General features: G+C 35.9%; 1 protein-coding gene across 6 annotated transcripts in view; it reads left to right on the top strand.

Moving 5' to 3' along the window:
• Positions 1-16,768, top strand: part of THSD7A (thrombospondin type 1 domain containing 7A) — a 461,834-nt gene that overhangs the window by 342,913 nt on the left and 102,153 nt on the right. For all 6 annotated transcript variants that reach the window (XM_006715662.2, XM_006715660.2, XM_006715659.2 and 3 more), the window contains 2 exons: positions 7,304-7,498; positions 14,718-14,952. In XM_006715662.2, coding sequence (XP_006715725.1) covers positions 7,304-7,498; positions 14,718-14,952 — 430 coding nt within the window. The remainder of the gene's footprint in view (positions 1-7,303; positions 7,499-14,717; positions 14,953-16,768) is intronic.

The following is a 16,768-nucleotide window of genomic DNA, read 5'->3' as shown; positions in this document are numbered from 1 at the left end:
TAGTAAGCCAACAATTAGAAATGTATAAACACCAGTGCTTTTTTCTTTTGCAGAAAAGCAATATAGGTTCTGGCATTTTAGGTTCACTTTTTCCCCTCATCCAACAAATATTTACTGTGAAACTCTAAAATAACAGTGACTACACCAAGGACTAAAAGATACTGAATAAGACAAACTCTCTGGCCAGAAGGTTCTCATAGGCTAATGGAAGTAAAGGTGAGTGAACAGGGAATGAGAAAAAGTTTTAAAAGTGACATGTCTGCAATGCTATGGGAGCAGACAGGGCAGAGCACAACTCCATCTGGGGCATTTGAGAAAGTCAAATAATGTTCACAGAGGAAGAAAACCGAGTCCTAAAGGAAGACAGCGAGAGATGGGGACACCAGGCATGAAGAACAGTGTTTGCAAAATGGCAGAGGAGTGAAAAAGCAGCATGTCAGTTCATGGAAAAATGAAAGCTTTCTGTGGATAGAATGTAGAGAAAACGTGAGGCAATGACAGAAGATTTCTATTTTCTTTGTTCTAGTGAGGAAGTTGGTTTTCAGCTAATATATATTGGAGAGACTATAGTATTCAGACTTAGATTTTAGAAACAGACCCTTGGGATACAAGGGAAATGAGATACAACAGAATCCCAGGGGAAAGTGTGCAAAGATTTGGAAGAGAAAATGGATTCGAGATTTGTAAAATCAGGCTCACTACCTGGATATGGTAGCAAAAATAATGCAGGGATTAAAATTGACTTGGAAACTTTCTATTTAAAATGAAGCAATATGTAGCTTCATTTTGAGAAGGGGAGTGAAGAATGAGGCATAAGTCTCAGTTCATGGGTCTTCTTCAGTAAGCTGAGGGTGATTCTGGACCTACATACCTTATGGTTGTTAGAGAGTTCAGATAAGATGGTTATATGAAAATGTTTTCTAGAAAGGTCCATGCAAATATGAGACTCCATTTTTTCCCTCTTTAATTCTTTTGTAAACTTTTATTGGTTATCAATAAATAAATATATAAAGACTATCACTCTCAAAAGTCAATGTGAATTTTTAAGATAATTTCTGAAGAACACAAAACATATCAAAAACTCAGTAATAATTATCGGAGTTACTCCGGATTTTGTATAGATCTGGCAAGAGAAATCTAATCTCAAAATTACAATCCTGGGATCTCTCTAAATAATGTGCTTTTTAATCTTGGCTCTGTGTCTGGTCCCTCTCTGCTTCAATTTCTCCTTTCTGCTTACAATTCCATTATGTTGTGAGTTGCAATTTTACAGGGGAGGTGCTTTGCACATAGCACTGTTGTGACTGTTAAAATCAACCATAAAAGTTGCACATTTCTATGATTTAAAAAAAAATCAGGATAACTCAAGAGGCGTTTAGAGAATAGGCAGAACATTGACATAGTTTTGCTGTGTCCCCACCCAAATCTCACCTTGAATTGTAATAATCCCCACGTGTCAAGGGTGGGGCCAGGTGGAGATAATTAAATAATGGTGTCGGTCTCCCCCATGATGTTCTCATGGTAGTGAATAATTCTCATGAGATCTGGTAGTTTTTTTCAATGGGAGTTCCCCTGCACAAGCTCTCTTGCCTGCCACCATGTAAGGCATGCCTTTCCTTCTTCTCTGTCTTCTACCATGATTGTGAGGCCTTTCCAGCCATGTGGAACTGTAAGTCCATTAAACCTCTTTTTCTTTATAAATTACCCAGTCTTGGGTATATCTTGATTAGCAGCATGAAAATGGACTAATACAAATATGTGTATATTTTGCATTAAAATACAATTGATTGTATGTTTAATGTATTAATTTTTGCATTCTTGCTCAATTGCTAAACCAAAGAAACATTGAAACTATAAAAACCTTGATAAACCATGGTTTATCTTTTATGTTTTATTTAGGCTCTAACACGATAAATGCAATAAACTTTCAGTATATACTTTTACCAAGGAAAAAGACTATCCACTGATCTCAGTTCTCATTTTGTGTTTCTATGGTAGTCTTCATGAATTTTTATAGTAATTATCTTGAGCAGATGTTTTAGTCTCTTATCCTGATAATAAGAGATACAGTCGAATAAAAAGGAATAGTTTAGGAGAGCTCATGAGAGTGTGGTGGCATTCATGAAAATAGACCAAACAAGGGAACGTTTAGGGGTGACTTTAAAATGTCAAAATACATGTTTAAGTTTATTAGAATAGTGGATTATGAAAACATTTTCTTAAAATTACATTTTTGAAGAAAGATAAATGGAGGAATACAAATATAAACATTTAAATCTCATTTTGAGTTTACAAAAATAAACCAAAGCATTTTCATTTTATATCTCAACCTCTTTCGTAGGGTATTCCAAATAAGTTTAAATAGTATATGCTTCAGTTAAGGCCTCAAAGTAAGGTGTAAATTGTAAAATGTAGACAATGGTTCATTTAGTCTGTTTTATAAATGTTCTGTATTTTGGCAGGTTTGTTTATAATGCCTAGACCTTTGTGGGTGAGAAAAACAAAGTTATATAAATGCAAAGCAATCCTTTGAAACCATTTATGTTTGTAAATGTATGCCAAAAAAGATAGTATATTTAATATGAATACACGAAGAGAAGCATAAGGAGGATTCTAAATGTTTGTGACATCACAGTCAAAATCTAGCTAAGAAATTGTCCTCAGAGAGACTAAAGAAGAAAAACAAGTTGCGTTGGTTCATACCTACACCAGTGATAGAACTACACAAATCACAGTAGTGATAATCAGATGTGTCTGTCCAGATTTAATGGGATGCACACTTGGATAATCAAAGTCTCAAATAGTTCTATAGTGGGGACATCTGGTGGATGAATATGTCCTAACTGTGGGGCTGCTGATATGAAAAAGTGGAATTCCCATAGTGCTAGGCAGCAAAACTTCCATTTCTCCAAATAGAGGAGTATAAATTAACCTGATATTTAGATATGTGCGTGTTTAATGTACTCCTATATATACTCTGAAGTAATGTTATGCAAAACAGTTCTTATCCAATCAAAATAAAGTGTATCAATCCAAAACAAAATTTAATGTGAGGAAGAGGGATGAAATTATTTTCTGCTACTCTTGTAAGACCTTAAGAGTAGAGTAAGTTCTTATAAGTAAGATTCAATTAACCTTATAAGTAAGATAAAATTAATAGCCTCAAAAAGTGGCTGGAATTGACAAGTTATGAAGTTGCCTGTAATAGCCATTGACCCAACTTTTTATTTGATTTTATTTGCCTATGGTTTCCCAGATGACTTATGCCTGGAATGCTGAAGATTTAGCTTAAAAAGAAGACAGCTCCTAAGGGTTCCAATTAGCTGAGTTGATTAAAGCATTCATTGAAAGCAAAATCAAAAATTTAATTATTCCATATTCTCATAGATCAGTTGCTGTTTGTTCAATGGCTATGAGCCAAAACATGTCCCACTGGACTCATCAACAATGCATGTCTTTGTATTTGAAGCACTGTGTGGCTGGCAACATGCATCACTGTGTTGACAAACAACTTGAGAGTGCCTGTTTCTTGACTTCTTTGGAGGCAAAGCCTTATCTATTATTTACTGCCTTGGCATCCTCAGTTCTCCACCAAGAAGAACCCCAATCTAGTTCAAAAGCAGATTGGGGTATTGGTGAAAACTCATTTCAATTCTCTGTTCCTTTAGTCAAACTTTTGCTATTTGAGAAAGATAACTTAACCTTTTTGAGTCTCAATTTCTTTTAAAGTAAAAAATAGATAGTAATACTGATGTCAAAAGGTTATTGTGAGAATTAGCTGAGGTGATGTATACAACATTCATACATTCTTAGCATAGTGCCTGACAGAAGATGGGCATTCAGCAACTATTCATTGAATAAATGTTTTCAGCCATGGATACTCTGTGTGAAGAGAAGTATAAGGAGAATCTCCACAGAGAAGCAAATGCTATTAGGTATGAAGTCCAGATGAATTTGTTTTACATACCTGCCTGTCAAGAGACAATCTGGTTCTAATCAAACCAGAAGACAATAAATGGAGAAAAATTCTAGAGCATTGTTTCTTAGATTTGATATGCATAGAAATTACCTGGGGATCTTTTAAGAATGAAGGTTGAGTCTGGGTGCGGTGGCTCATGCCTGTAATCCCAGCACTTTGGGAGGCTGAGGCAGGCAGATCATGAGGTCAGGAGTTCGAGACCAGCCTGGCCAGTATGGTGAAACCCCTTCTCTGCTAAAAATACAAAAATGAGCCGGGCATGGTGGTGCATGCCTGTAGTCCCAGCTACATGGGAGGCTGAGGCAGGAGAATCGCTTGACCCTGGGAGGTGGAGGTTGCAGTAAGCCAAGATCTCACCACTGCGTTGCAGCCTGGGCAACAGAGTGAGACTCCGTCTCCACAAAAAAAAAAAAAAAAAAAAAAAAAAAAAAATTAAGGTTGTGATTCAGTGGGTTGAGTCTGAGAGGCTGCATTTCCAGCAAACTCCAGGGGATGCATGTGCTGCTATCCACTAAATACACTTTCGGGAGGCCCTAGAGCACTCGAATGCATGACAAGAAATACTGTGCTTAGATCTCTATTTGTCTAGACCAACATTCTATTTCCTAGCACAACTTAAAATTTATGTATTTATTTAACAAAAAATGATTTAGTGCTTCCTACGTGTCGGGCACTATTCTAGGTTCTAAGTATGAAGTAGCAACCAAGACAGATACGGATAACACCCTCATTTAGTCTAGTGATAGTCAGACAATAAACATATTAACCAATTAATTAAAATAGTTTCTAGTGGTGATTAAAAGTATAATGAAAATAAACTGAAGTGACTGGGAGAGTGTGTATGGTCAATGAAATCTCCTCTAGGAAGGAGAAAATTGAACTGAAACCTGAATGTTGAAAAACAGGATTCTGTGTAAGACCTGAAATTTTCATACAAAGTGAAGAGAAAGTGCAAAACTGCTGAGACAACAATGGGCTTCGTTTGCAGGAGGAAAGGGAAAAAAGTCATTATGGCCAGAACATAAAGCTTCAACCTAAATGTGAGACAGTGATCAGAACAGTAAAAAGGGACAAGATCATACCTGGAAGGGTTGGGGATGGTACAGAAATCATTCTAAAACCATCAGGGAAATCTCAGATGTTGGATCTTAGATGGGTCTTAATAGCTCCACAGAGGATTAAGGGTGGTAGAAGGAGTGATCCTACAGGAAAGTACACCTGGCCAAGCAGAACAAGATGATTGAAAAAGAGCTAAAATAAGATATGGGACACAAACTGGGCGGATGGGGGGCAGGGGGAGTGCGGAAAAAAGCATAACTTAGAAGAAAGGTCAAAATTGCACATTTCTTTGGTTTACATGACAACAAACAAAAATGCATTACTTACGCTAGGCAAGCTAATCTAATGGCACCCTTGTAGCAAAGTCTGCATTGCCACAGAATAAATATTTTTCTGAATAGAAAAGATTAGGTAACTATTAGAGGATAAATAAAAATATGACGTTTGTTAGCTATAGACTTTAGCCCCAAACTTTTCTTGCTTTCCACAGAATATTGGAAACAAAAGTGAGAGAAGGTAGATGGTACAATAAAAGACAGCAGTGAAGAAAATAAGATATAAGAGAGCACCCCTTGCACTAAGAAAAAGCCTAGTAGAAAAAAGAGTCATCATTATTATGTCAAGTGTAAAATATTAAATGCCTTATACAATAATGATTTTCATACTCTACCTATGTACCTATATATCTACTATCTGTTTAGTACATTTTTTTAATTGGGATACATGCCAAAACCCAACACCAATAAAAACAAAATTTGAGAGCTCCCACAGATTAGAGTAGCTAAATAAGAATGAATAATAAAATATTTACTCAATTGCAATTTTAATGAGCCTTCTTTACTTACTAGTGAGTAAGTCTAATGATTTAAGGCCTTGCAATGTAATGGCTATTAACACGTAGGTGCATTCCAATTGACTTCTGATTTTTGTCTCATGATTAAAGGCTCTGCAAGCTAGTAGCTATTAACATATTAGAGCATTTGCAATTTACTCTGATTTTCTGTCTTGTTTTTAAAGCATATGAATAAAGGAGTGTACATTAAAATGATGCTCCTAACTCCCCAAGTGAGAAACAGCTTGGACTATTTTGTTCAGTAGCCTCTGTAAGGAATGGCAAGGTGAGTCACCCTTTCTCACCTGAATGCCTAATGCGAGGCACACACTTTTTATATATTCACCCAGAATTATGATTATATTCTGTGCCAAAATAGCAGGTTAATTTTTGTTTGATTGTGTATGATTTCATTCTGTTCTGTTCCCTTGACCTCGTTAACCACCTATATTAATCAACTAAACCATAGAGTTCAGACTTTTTCTCCTACCCTGTTTTGGTTATTCTGTTGGTTGTTTTTGGCATTTATTAACAGCAACAATGTTTTGTTTCTCATTGGCCTTTTATATATCTCATTTCACGCATTCAGCAAATATTAAATAAGTGTCCATTTTTGGGCCAATCTCTAGAGTGTCAAGGGCAAAATGAGGGAGTGAAGTGAGATGAGGCTAGGAAGAGAAACACAGCGAGGTCATTTGAGGTCGAGGTCTTGTAAACTTGAAAAATCTGCCCTTTATCTTAAGAGCAACAGGGAACTAATGAAAAATATTAAGCACTGGAGTGACATCACATTACTTCTGCCATTTGTTTGTTTTCTATTGTTTCCCTCCCTCTCCAACTGGGATCACCTTAAGCAGTGACTTTATAATGTTATCCCATCATTTACATTTCCTGTCTATTTCCAACTAACAAACAATTTTTTACGAAAGAAGAAGGTTGCCAATTGTATGAAAATAACTACTCTGAGAGACACAAGAGAGTTTGTAAATAGACACCTATTAGTTGGTTCATGAAAACATATGATAGATGCTATGGATAGAGTCATTATTTGTAAATCATAGCTCATCTCCAAAAAAGAAAGAGGGGACATGCTTTGTTGATGCTCCTTATTACAACTTAAGAGTACAAGTATAAAAATTAGTACTTAATGGGCAGGTGTCTGTGGCATAAGAATCGTCTCAGCAATGTGCTTGATATACCCTGATAATGAAAGAAGCCTCATTTAGGGTCATGAGTGTATATGTGTGTATATATGCTTGTTCCTGGTGTTCTATTAACATCTGGCTATAGTAGGCAATCCCTCTTTTGGCTACGTTTTTTTAAGTAAGAGCAAAAGAAAGATAATGTAACTTATCTGGGTGCCCATCTGGTTTAAATTGCTCATTTTACATTAATTTAACAATAATAGCTGTTGGTGGTCATGTTTTCCCCAGGAGAAGAAGTTGACAGACAGCTGTGCAGAGATGCCATCTTCCCCATCCCTGTGGCCTGTGATGCCCCATGCCCGAAAGACTGTGTGCTCAGCACATGGTCTACGTGGTCCTCCTGCTCACACACCTGCTCAGGGAAAACGACAGAAGGGAAACAGATACGAGCACGATCCATTCTGGCCTATGCGGGTGAAGAAGGTGAGTCGCCAGCTTCAGACGCCATCTAGGTTCGTTTCAAAAGTTAGTGTGCATCTTTTTTGTGTAGCCTGGAAAAGATGATATTCTATGAAAGTCAACAACCAGAAATTCAGCCATCCAAGATTTAATATCTGTTGATGTGTTGAGCAATTTGATTCTGTCCCCCAAAATTAATCTTGAAAATGGATCTCTAACAAAGGAGAAAGACTTTTTAAAAGTGAACTCATTTTGCTTTTTCCCACCCTTCCAGTCATTAGAGTTCTTTGTAAACCAAAGTGTTAGGCCTTTAAGAAGGTCTGAAAATGGCTCCCAAAATTTCAGATGTTTCATTGTTTTTTTCTGAATTTCAGAAGTCAGTTTTATCTTTTGAAAATCATATTCTACCTTCTCATAAATAAGTATATATATCCAATCATAAAGTTTATTTAAAATCACAAGAATAGCTACTGTTCGACCAAAAATTGCAATTTTCAGTTTCTTTGAGTTTCTTGAACATAGGCTCCGAGGTCCAGAAATCTCATATGTAAATTTTGTTCATTTTTAAAATATGTTGCTCCTAAATCTCTTCACCCTATAGGGTGAATAAAGCATGTTTGTCACATATTCAGACCTCACTTGCAAGCTTTATTGCCAAGAAATACAAGGCTCTTGGTAATTGTCTCTCAAGATGATATCCAAATGCTAATTTGGCTTCTGTGTGACTGGGTAATATAATGTCATACTTAATCTTGTCTTTCTGAAAAATAACACAAGAGTGAGAAAAGCATAAAAGTAAATCAAGTTTGTTCATATTAAGGCATGTTCTTTCTCAAGAATATAAGTGTATGTTATTTAAACATTATCAAGCTAAATGACTCTTTGTTCACATTTAGCACTGATAAATAATTATTTCTATTTGTAATAAGCATAACATTTTATGTTTTCCCCAAATTATCGATTTGGGGGGAGTTTTGTGTTGCCTATACTTTTTCTATTTTTCTGTTCATGAAGTATTTTAGTGATAGAAACATAGTGTTCCTAGTCAAATTTGCTATCTGTGTGTGTAACAACTGTGCACACCTATAATTACCTTGGCCTTTGCACATGAGTGTTACATGCGTAAAACATTTTACACACAGAAAAGCCAACCTGTGTGAAATTTTAGAATTTTCTTTATAGTGTTCAAAAACTTTTTCCTACCACCTTAATATATATTTAACTCTTTGCTCCAAAAAAAAAGTGTATCTATTGAAAAATACAACCTTTTACAAAGAAAATTATATTTCTTGTGTTGTCAAACAATGACTCTAACCTCGTGAAGATTGTATGAAGGCTTTAAACTCTATCAGCTCAGATTTTGCCTTGGGCTTCATTAAAATTAGATCTGTGGTCACCCTGCTTCCTGTAAATTCATTATACTCTGCAGACACTTGCTGTGTGACTACTAATGAATGACTTTTCACCCCACCCCGAGTCACATGGCAAGGATTTTGCCATGCTTGCAGAACTCACCAGATCATTATTCCTGTAGACATGATGCTTCACACGGAAAGGTCATGAAATGTTTTAAAGGCAGAAATTTGTGATTGCTCTTTGATATGTATCATCCACTGAGTTTGAAAGGGTAGGGCTTCAATAATTTTTAATTAAGTTTAGTGGTTGCATTATAAGCAAGTCATGCTGGAAAGTTATAGATGTTTATATAGTAAATCATAAGGGCATTAATTCAAAACAATATAGTTCTGTTTTAATTGACGTGTAATAATTGTATATATAGGGTGCAGTGTGATGTATCAATATATGGATAAATTGTGTAATAATCAAATCAAGATAATTAGCATATCTATCACCTCAGACATTTATCATTTCTTTTAGCAAGGGCATAGAGAATCCTCTCTTCCAGCTATTTTGAAATATATAATACATTATTGTAAAACATGGAAGCCATAAAAGAAACTCTGTCAATGCTATTTGTCTCTGCTGCTATTTACCTCTGTTAATAACATTTATAAAAGCTGGTATAATTATGTGAAATTTATACTTCAAAGCCTATTTAGTACCTATTAGTGGACACTGAAACATGTTTTATGAGAAATTTGTACTTCAAAGCCTACTTAGTACCTATTATTTGTTGGACACTGAAACACATTTTCTCTTACTCAAAATAAATCTTTCCTAATTCTGAACTATTTTTAATGATTTAGGAACAGCATCTGCAGGAAGTTTTAAAATGTGTTTCTCTGCCACTTAGATAATCCTTTGTAATTCTACACAAAAGTCAGTCTTTCCATTATTCTTCAAGAATTAGTGCTTTGTGTCATAAATGTTCTTAAATTTCTGTGGATCAGACACTGATTGTGATAACTTTAAAGGAAAGTGCCACATTTGAGAAATGATATATGAAGTGTTTAAACAAGAAATTATATGATTTTCTAGGGAAATAACATACAGGACAAGTCCATGCGAAAAGTAGATCTGGATTTATGAAATAAATGCTCCAACCTATACTTTCACTTATCTTAATCAGAATGCCACCATTAAACAATACTGAAGGCTGGATAACTCCTTGTAATTAATAAGGATAGACTAGGTTGTGCTTCAGTAATGGACAGCCCAGACATTCAGGAGCTTAAAGAACAAAGCTTTATTTACTTCTTCCTCATGGAAATTTAGCTACAGTTTTGGGTAACTCTACAGGGCAATTTGTCCTTCATGAAATGTCACAATATTGCATCACCATATGAAGACCTGGTTCCACAATCTTCATGTGCCAGAGGAAGAAAATACTTGGAGAATCTATCTGTCGATTTTAAGCATCAGCAAGTAAATTCTCCCATCTAAGAGTGATTTATGTCATTTCTCACGTTTCATTGTTAATGTAAGTTGTATAACTATGCCTAACTTCAAGGCGAATGAGGGAAATATAATCCTATTGTGTGCTAAAATGAGAGGAGTATTGACTAGTACTCTTACCCCTGATTTACTCAGTGTTCTTATTGTGTATCAGTGTGTATATATGTATGTATGTATCTATCTATCGATGGCCCCAATCCAGTAGATAAAACAGGGCTCCTAACATTGTGAAAATGTTAGGATTAATTATTTTTGTTCCTCTTAAATGAATGACAGAATGATAGAATGGCACTTTCTCTTCCTCATACTGCACTTCTTTTCTTTCTTTTCCTTTTGCTTTTCCTTTTGCTTTTCCTTTTCCTTTCTTTCACTTCCTTTTATTGCTAGGCTCTTTTTCTCCTTTCCTGAACAATTCTATCCAAAAAGCCATTTGGTAAAGCCAAGCAGCTGGGCATCTGTGCCAGCAGATAGGAGGTCTGTTGGTGATCTAGAGTGGGTTGTCAGAGCCCAACTGGGTGAGGAGCAACCAAAGTGGGAAAAGAGGTGGCCTGGCATGCATTTTCAGAGCCAGTGAGCAGGGTGAAGGACAGGGGGCACATGGGTTGTATGAGAGGATAGAAGAGTGACTCTACACTGGATGTCAGAGCATAGCTGGGTCAAGAGAGAATTCCAGCATCAAGGTGGCCAGCCCAGTATGGGGTGTCACAGCCAGACACAGTTGAGGAGTGTTTCTGTCATGTGGGTGGCCTCATGTAGGATGTCAGATCATGAGCAGAGTAATGAAGATATCTTGTGGGTATAGCAATGGAGATAACAATGGGTAATGGAGTGTGAAGTGAGAGGGAATTGACAAAATAAGTACATGTATTTAACATAGTGAGAGTTGGTTTTTTTATTGCTGGAGAAGAGAGTTGCAAATATGTTAGGAAAGAAAACTAGTACACTCTGTGGTACAGCATTGGAATTGGATGTTATTAATTTATTTGAATTCATGGTGTTCAATTTGTAAAGATAAATATAGAATAAACATCAATGTAAGTGTGCAAATATAAATATGTACATATTATATACATATAGACATATATTAGCCTCATTCACTGAAAAGACCTGAGAGCAGCAAGACCTCAACAGAAGTAAGTAGCTGCAGCAGTCAGATCTTGGTTTCTAATACTATTGTCTAACAAAAGGAACAAGGGAAACTTTGAGAAATGGCTGATTCCACAGCTGCAATAGAAGAAGTACAAGATGGGCCAGGAGGATCTTGTGGTAGAAAGTAAAGAGAATTGTCAAAAGGCCACAGAAGCCAACTTGAATGTTCTCCCACTGACCACATTTGCAAACAATTTTAATGACAAAATAATAATACCAACAGACCATTAAATAGGAAACCATGGATCCACATATTATATAAATAAATAAAGGAATAAATTCAATCTCATTAAAAGCATTGTAGTTATATAGTCTCAAATATTTCCCTAATAGAGAAGTCTGACAGACACCCCCTTAATCTGGTGACCAAAGTTAGCATTATCAATAATGAAGCAAACCAAAATCTTGTGTCCTCAGTATGATATAATGAGAATACGATATCATTTCTGTAATAACTCTATCAAAGATGCATATATAGAATCTAGTCATGAGGAAACATCAGATAAACTCTAATTGGAAGACATTGTACAAAATAATCTTTAATCTTCCAAAGTGTCTAAGCCATGAAAATGAAGAAACAATTGAAAAACTGTTCAAGATTTAAGGAGACTAACAAAGTGTGACATCTAAATGTAATGCTTGATTCTGAACTAAATCATCTTGCTGTAAAGGACATTTTGGGACAGTTGGCAAACTTGAATGCAGTCTGAGGATTCAATGGTCATAACTTATCTGTTTATATTCTGATTTTTGGATTTTGAATATTTAATTGCTTATGTATAGGAGAATGCTCTTGATCATAGGAAGTACACACTAACATAGTTAGGGTGATGGACATCGTTTCATCTTTTTCCAAGTGGTCCAGGAAAAGAAAAGTATTTATATCATACTTTTAATTTCACTGTAATTTTGAAATTAGTTCAGAATTAAACATGAAAATGAATTTGTATATAATCGCTTTCTACACTATCTTTTTTTTTTTTTTTTTCTCTGAGACGGAGTCTCTCTCTGTTGACCAGGCTGGAGTGCAGTGGCCCGATCTTGGCTCACTGCAACCTCCACCTCCCAGGCTCAAGCGATTCTCCTGCCTCAGCCTCCTGAATAGCTGGGATTACAGGAGCACCACCATGCCTGACTAATTTTTTGTATTTTAGTAGAGACAAGGTTTCACCGTGCTGCCCAGGGTGGTCCCAAACTCCTGAGCTCAGGCAATCTGCCCACCTTGGCCCCCTAAAGTGCTGGAAGTACAGGCACGAGCCACTGTACCTGGTGCTTTCTACACAATCTTGAGTAACATTATATAATCTATTATCAATACACAAAAATTGTCATAAAATTGCTAATTATTGAAATGTCATTTGGAAACCAAATCACAAGTACTGGCAACTGGTGATAGTTAATGTACTGGAGAAGGTAAAATTAGTTCTTTACACTTAAAAAAATGGTGTGTGTGTGTGTGTGTGTGTGTGTGTGTGTGTGTGTGTGTGTATCTTCCAGAGGCTTGACTTCTGGTTAAATAAAAGTGATTCACTTTTTAATATTCTTGCCTTAACGTATAAATATTGTATAAACTGTAGGAATTGTCTCAAAAAATATTTTAAAGTTATGTTAGGAAATTCTAAAGGGAGGCAACATTTTAATACTTAAGCCTGGCATATTTTTAATATAAATAGTTGAATTTGAACAAAAAGTTAAAAATTAATGTTAGACTTTTAGCTTTACCAATTTTTTGAACCTGTATTGTAGATCCTAACAAGTTTCATTTAAAAAGGAAAAGGTTATTTTTTAAATGGTTCCCACTGGGTATACAATTTGTTAACTCTCATGATATAGTTAATTATTCTTACAGAGCAAAAAAAAAAAAAAAAAAAGGAAAGTATTTATTTTTGTTAAGTTCAATATGACCTGATAGAACTTCATCAACCAAATATTAATGTCTTTGCACCTGTCTTATACAAGCAGAGAATAGATGCAGATGGAAATAAATTATGTCATTTTTTTCTCAAATAATTATCTTCAGAAGTCATATTTTACAATGCAAAACATTGAGAAGAATATTTTTATTTAACTTGTTCAATTTTTACAGCTAAATGATTTTAATTATAGTAACCAGGTAGTACCCATATTCCCTAGAAAAATTTGAAGAATGCAGGATTCATTACATGTATGCATATATATGTTATATATATGTTATATATGTTATATATATGTTATATACATATATGTTATATATACATATATGTTATATATATACTTATAACCCTGATTTCTAAGTAAATACCATCACTTCCCCATTCTCCCACTATTGACCTTGAAAAGAGAGTTCTGCTTCAATCTGTCACTACTTGACCACCACACAGGACTTACGCAGGCTTCACGGTGGACAGTCTTCTGCCTGTTTCTGCAAAGAAAAACCGGGAGGTGGGGCTGTGCTGCCGCAGAATCTCCTGAAGTACCCCACAGCTAATGCTGTTCCAATTCGGTACCCCCAAAGCATATCCTTGCCAATGCACTTTTCACCCAGCAGTGGTCTGCTGTCAAAGGAATTCAGGCTACAATAGCAGGAAACGTTAGAAGCACCTTAAAAGTATAATTTATAGTATTATGATAATAGTACTCTTCACACTAATAGCTTCTTTATAACATAAGCCCAGTCTACTTTCTTATTCTTGTTGCCAATTACTTTCTGATGTGAACTCTACACTCCAATTGACTATGTCAATATTGTTAATTGCCAAGGTCACACCTGCCTGCATGCCTTTGCTTCTGTTTATTTATTTTTCTACTTAGATACTATTCTCTTTTCCTTCTGTCCCTTCCCAGAATTCTGCTTATTGAAATCCTACTCCTTCAAAATTTTTCTCAGTGCCTCTTTCAATCTGAGGCATTCTTCAGACTCCAAAAAGTAGTGAAATTGTACTCCTTGAATCCCAGTTATACTAAATACCGCACAATATAATTATTTCATTCTATCTAGAATTATACTCATTTGTATCCTTATCTCCCCTACTACTTTTCCCTACTACATTATGAGATCCTTGAGTGTAGCAGAAACTATTTTTAACCCCTGTAGGTATCCCTTGAAGCATCTCACATAAATATTGCGTGTATTTATGAACTTGATGTGGGGAAGAAAAGTCACTTTTTATTTCTAAGCCATGTTAATTCCAAAGAACAGAGTATGGTAAGGTTCCTGTTGGCACCGTATCTAATTTGCTATCATTGTCCATGTTTTTAGGTGGAATTCGCTGTCCAAATAGCAGTGCTTTGCAAGAAGTACGAAGCTGTAATGAGCATCCTTGCACAGTGTACCACTGGCAAACTGGTCCCTGGGGCCAGTGCATTGAGGACACCTCAGTATCGTCCTTCAACACAACTACGACTTGGAATGGGGAGGCCTCCTGCTCTGTCGGCATGCAGACAAGAAAAGTCATCTGTGTGCGAGTCAATGTGGGCCAAGTGGGACCCAAAAAGTAAGAGCTTTAGAATGACAACAGTAAATCGTGTAGCCACCTGTGCAGAGGATTGGCTCAGGCTTCACTGGCTTCATGAAATGGAACATTTTGATGCTTGTCATACCTGTCCTCAAGAGCAAGATTTGTTTGTTTTGAAAGTCAGCCACTGATAAAGCTATAACAGCTTTGAGTTTTATACTGGGGAACCATAAATTCTGTAGAAATCTTTCTATCTGGTGCCTACTCTCTGTTTTATAGTAGCACTTTCTGCTTTTATTAAGCTAGTGAGGCAATGAAAGAAGTGCTTGCCGTAAGCCTGGCTGATCAATAATGACAGTGTACTAGGTCCTGGCAGTGTAGGTCATCCATGACCTCCTATATACCCGTAGGCTACGGAGGCTGCCCAATCTAGTTTAATTGGGTAGAAGCCTTGTATGATCTGCCTTTCATTTCCCCTAGAAAACACTATATCAAAAATACCGAAGCATACTTACTGCGTCTTTCAATGGTTAGAGTAAAAACCATTTACTTCCAAGAGAGAGCCTTGGGATAGGATGAGTGTTATTATAAGTAGAAAAACTATCATTTTCTCAGGGTGCTTTTGAGTACTATAATAACAGGGCAAACACTTTGCTGGAGGGGAGAACAAAGAACCAGAGAGTCGACATATTATATGTGCCTTGTGAGAAGTATAAACAAAAATAATGGCATAACTGAGCTAATCACTTCATAGAGAAAATTAATAAATCTACTCTAAAAAATTGAGGGGAAAAAGCTTTATTTTTCAAAACTTAACATACTTTTTAAAAATTCAAATCACCTTAGCCATGTAAGATATGAAATGATAAATGAGTCGATTTTTGCATGGGTTTAAAAGTGGCCTCATATTTACTAAATACTCAGCCAAGTGGTTAAATATTGTGTGTAATCTTCAGCGTGCTACCTAACTTACTCTGGCCAACAGTTTTTGCAGTCTGTTGAAAGGATTTAATGAAACATATAATAGTAATCTAAGCACTCAATAAATGTTAGAAATTGGTCTTTTTCTTAAGAATTTCAGCTACTCCTTAGTGTTCCAAGAAAATGAAAATAATGTCTCTGATGCATGAAAAACTCCAGGGAAACAAATATGAATCCCATTATGAGATGTTTGTGTCTGGCCAGGGTTCCAGACATTAGGGATATTTTGCCCCACAATTTATTTTTTTATATTGCTTGAAATTAGGAAACACAGAAGACATGCCAGTGAGATTTGAATAAATTGAAAGACTATTTCACATGTTTAATAGGTAACCTCAAACCAATATTTTAATAGAAATTTTGCTAAAGCTGTGATGAATCTAACTCAGGAAATTAATGTACAGTGTATTAAAATTCAAAAGTGGTAACAGCAAGAGCAGATGTCCCAAGTCCTGGAGGATTCTGACTCTTGCTGGATCAAGAACAAAGGTAGAAATATTCACTACGCAGGCACAGGACCAACCTGTTGTGGCGCAGGATGAGGGTTATTGTGCTGAGCTTCTACCAGTGAGCTCATTCTGTTCCTGTCCCACGGTTAATCACCTTTCAAATGTTGCTGTTTTGACATTTTCCTCACTTACATAAGCTACAAAATATTTTTCCTGAGTAATGGATGTACATATGTACACGCCTATATGTGAAAGAGCCTGCTGGATTAACAGCATTAAATCAGTGGGAAGGGTATCCTGAAGCCCCATGTGATACTACCACAATAATTCATTAAAAATTTGCTTCACCCTTGCAGCCTTCATTCAATGACTTATGTGCATCTATAGACTTGTTAAATCAAATGGATGTACTTTACCTCTCAAAT

Source organism: Homo sapiens, chromosome 7, assembly GCF_000001405.40.
Source record: "Homo sapiens chromosome 7, GRCh38.p14 Primary Assembly".
In the NCBI taxonomy this organism is placed as follows: Eukaryota; Metazoa; Chordata; class Mammalia; order Primates; family Hominidae; genus Homo; species Homo sapiens.
This window is presented reverse-complemented; position numbering and strand designations above follow the sequence as displayed.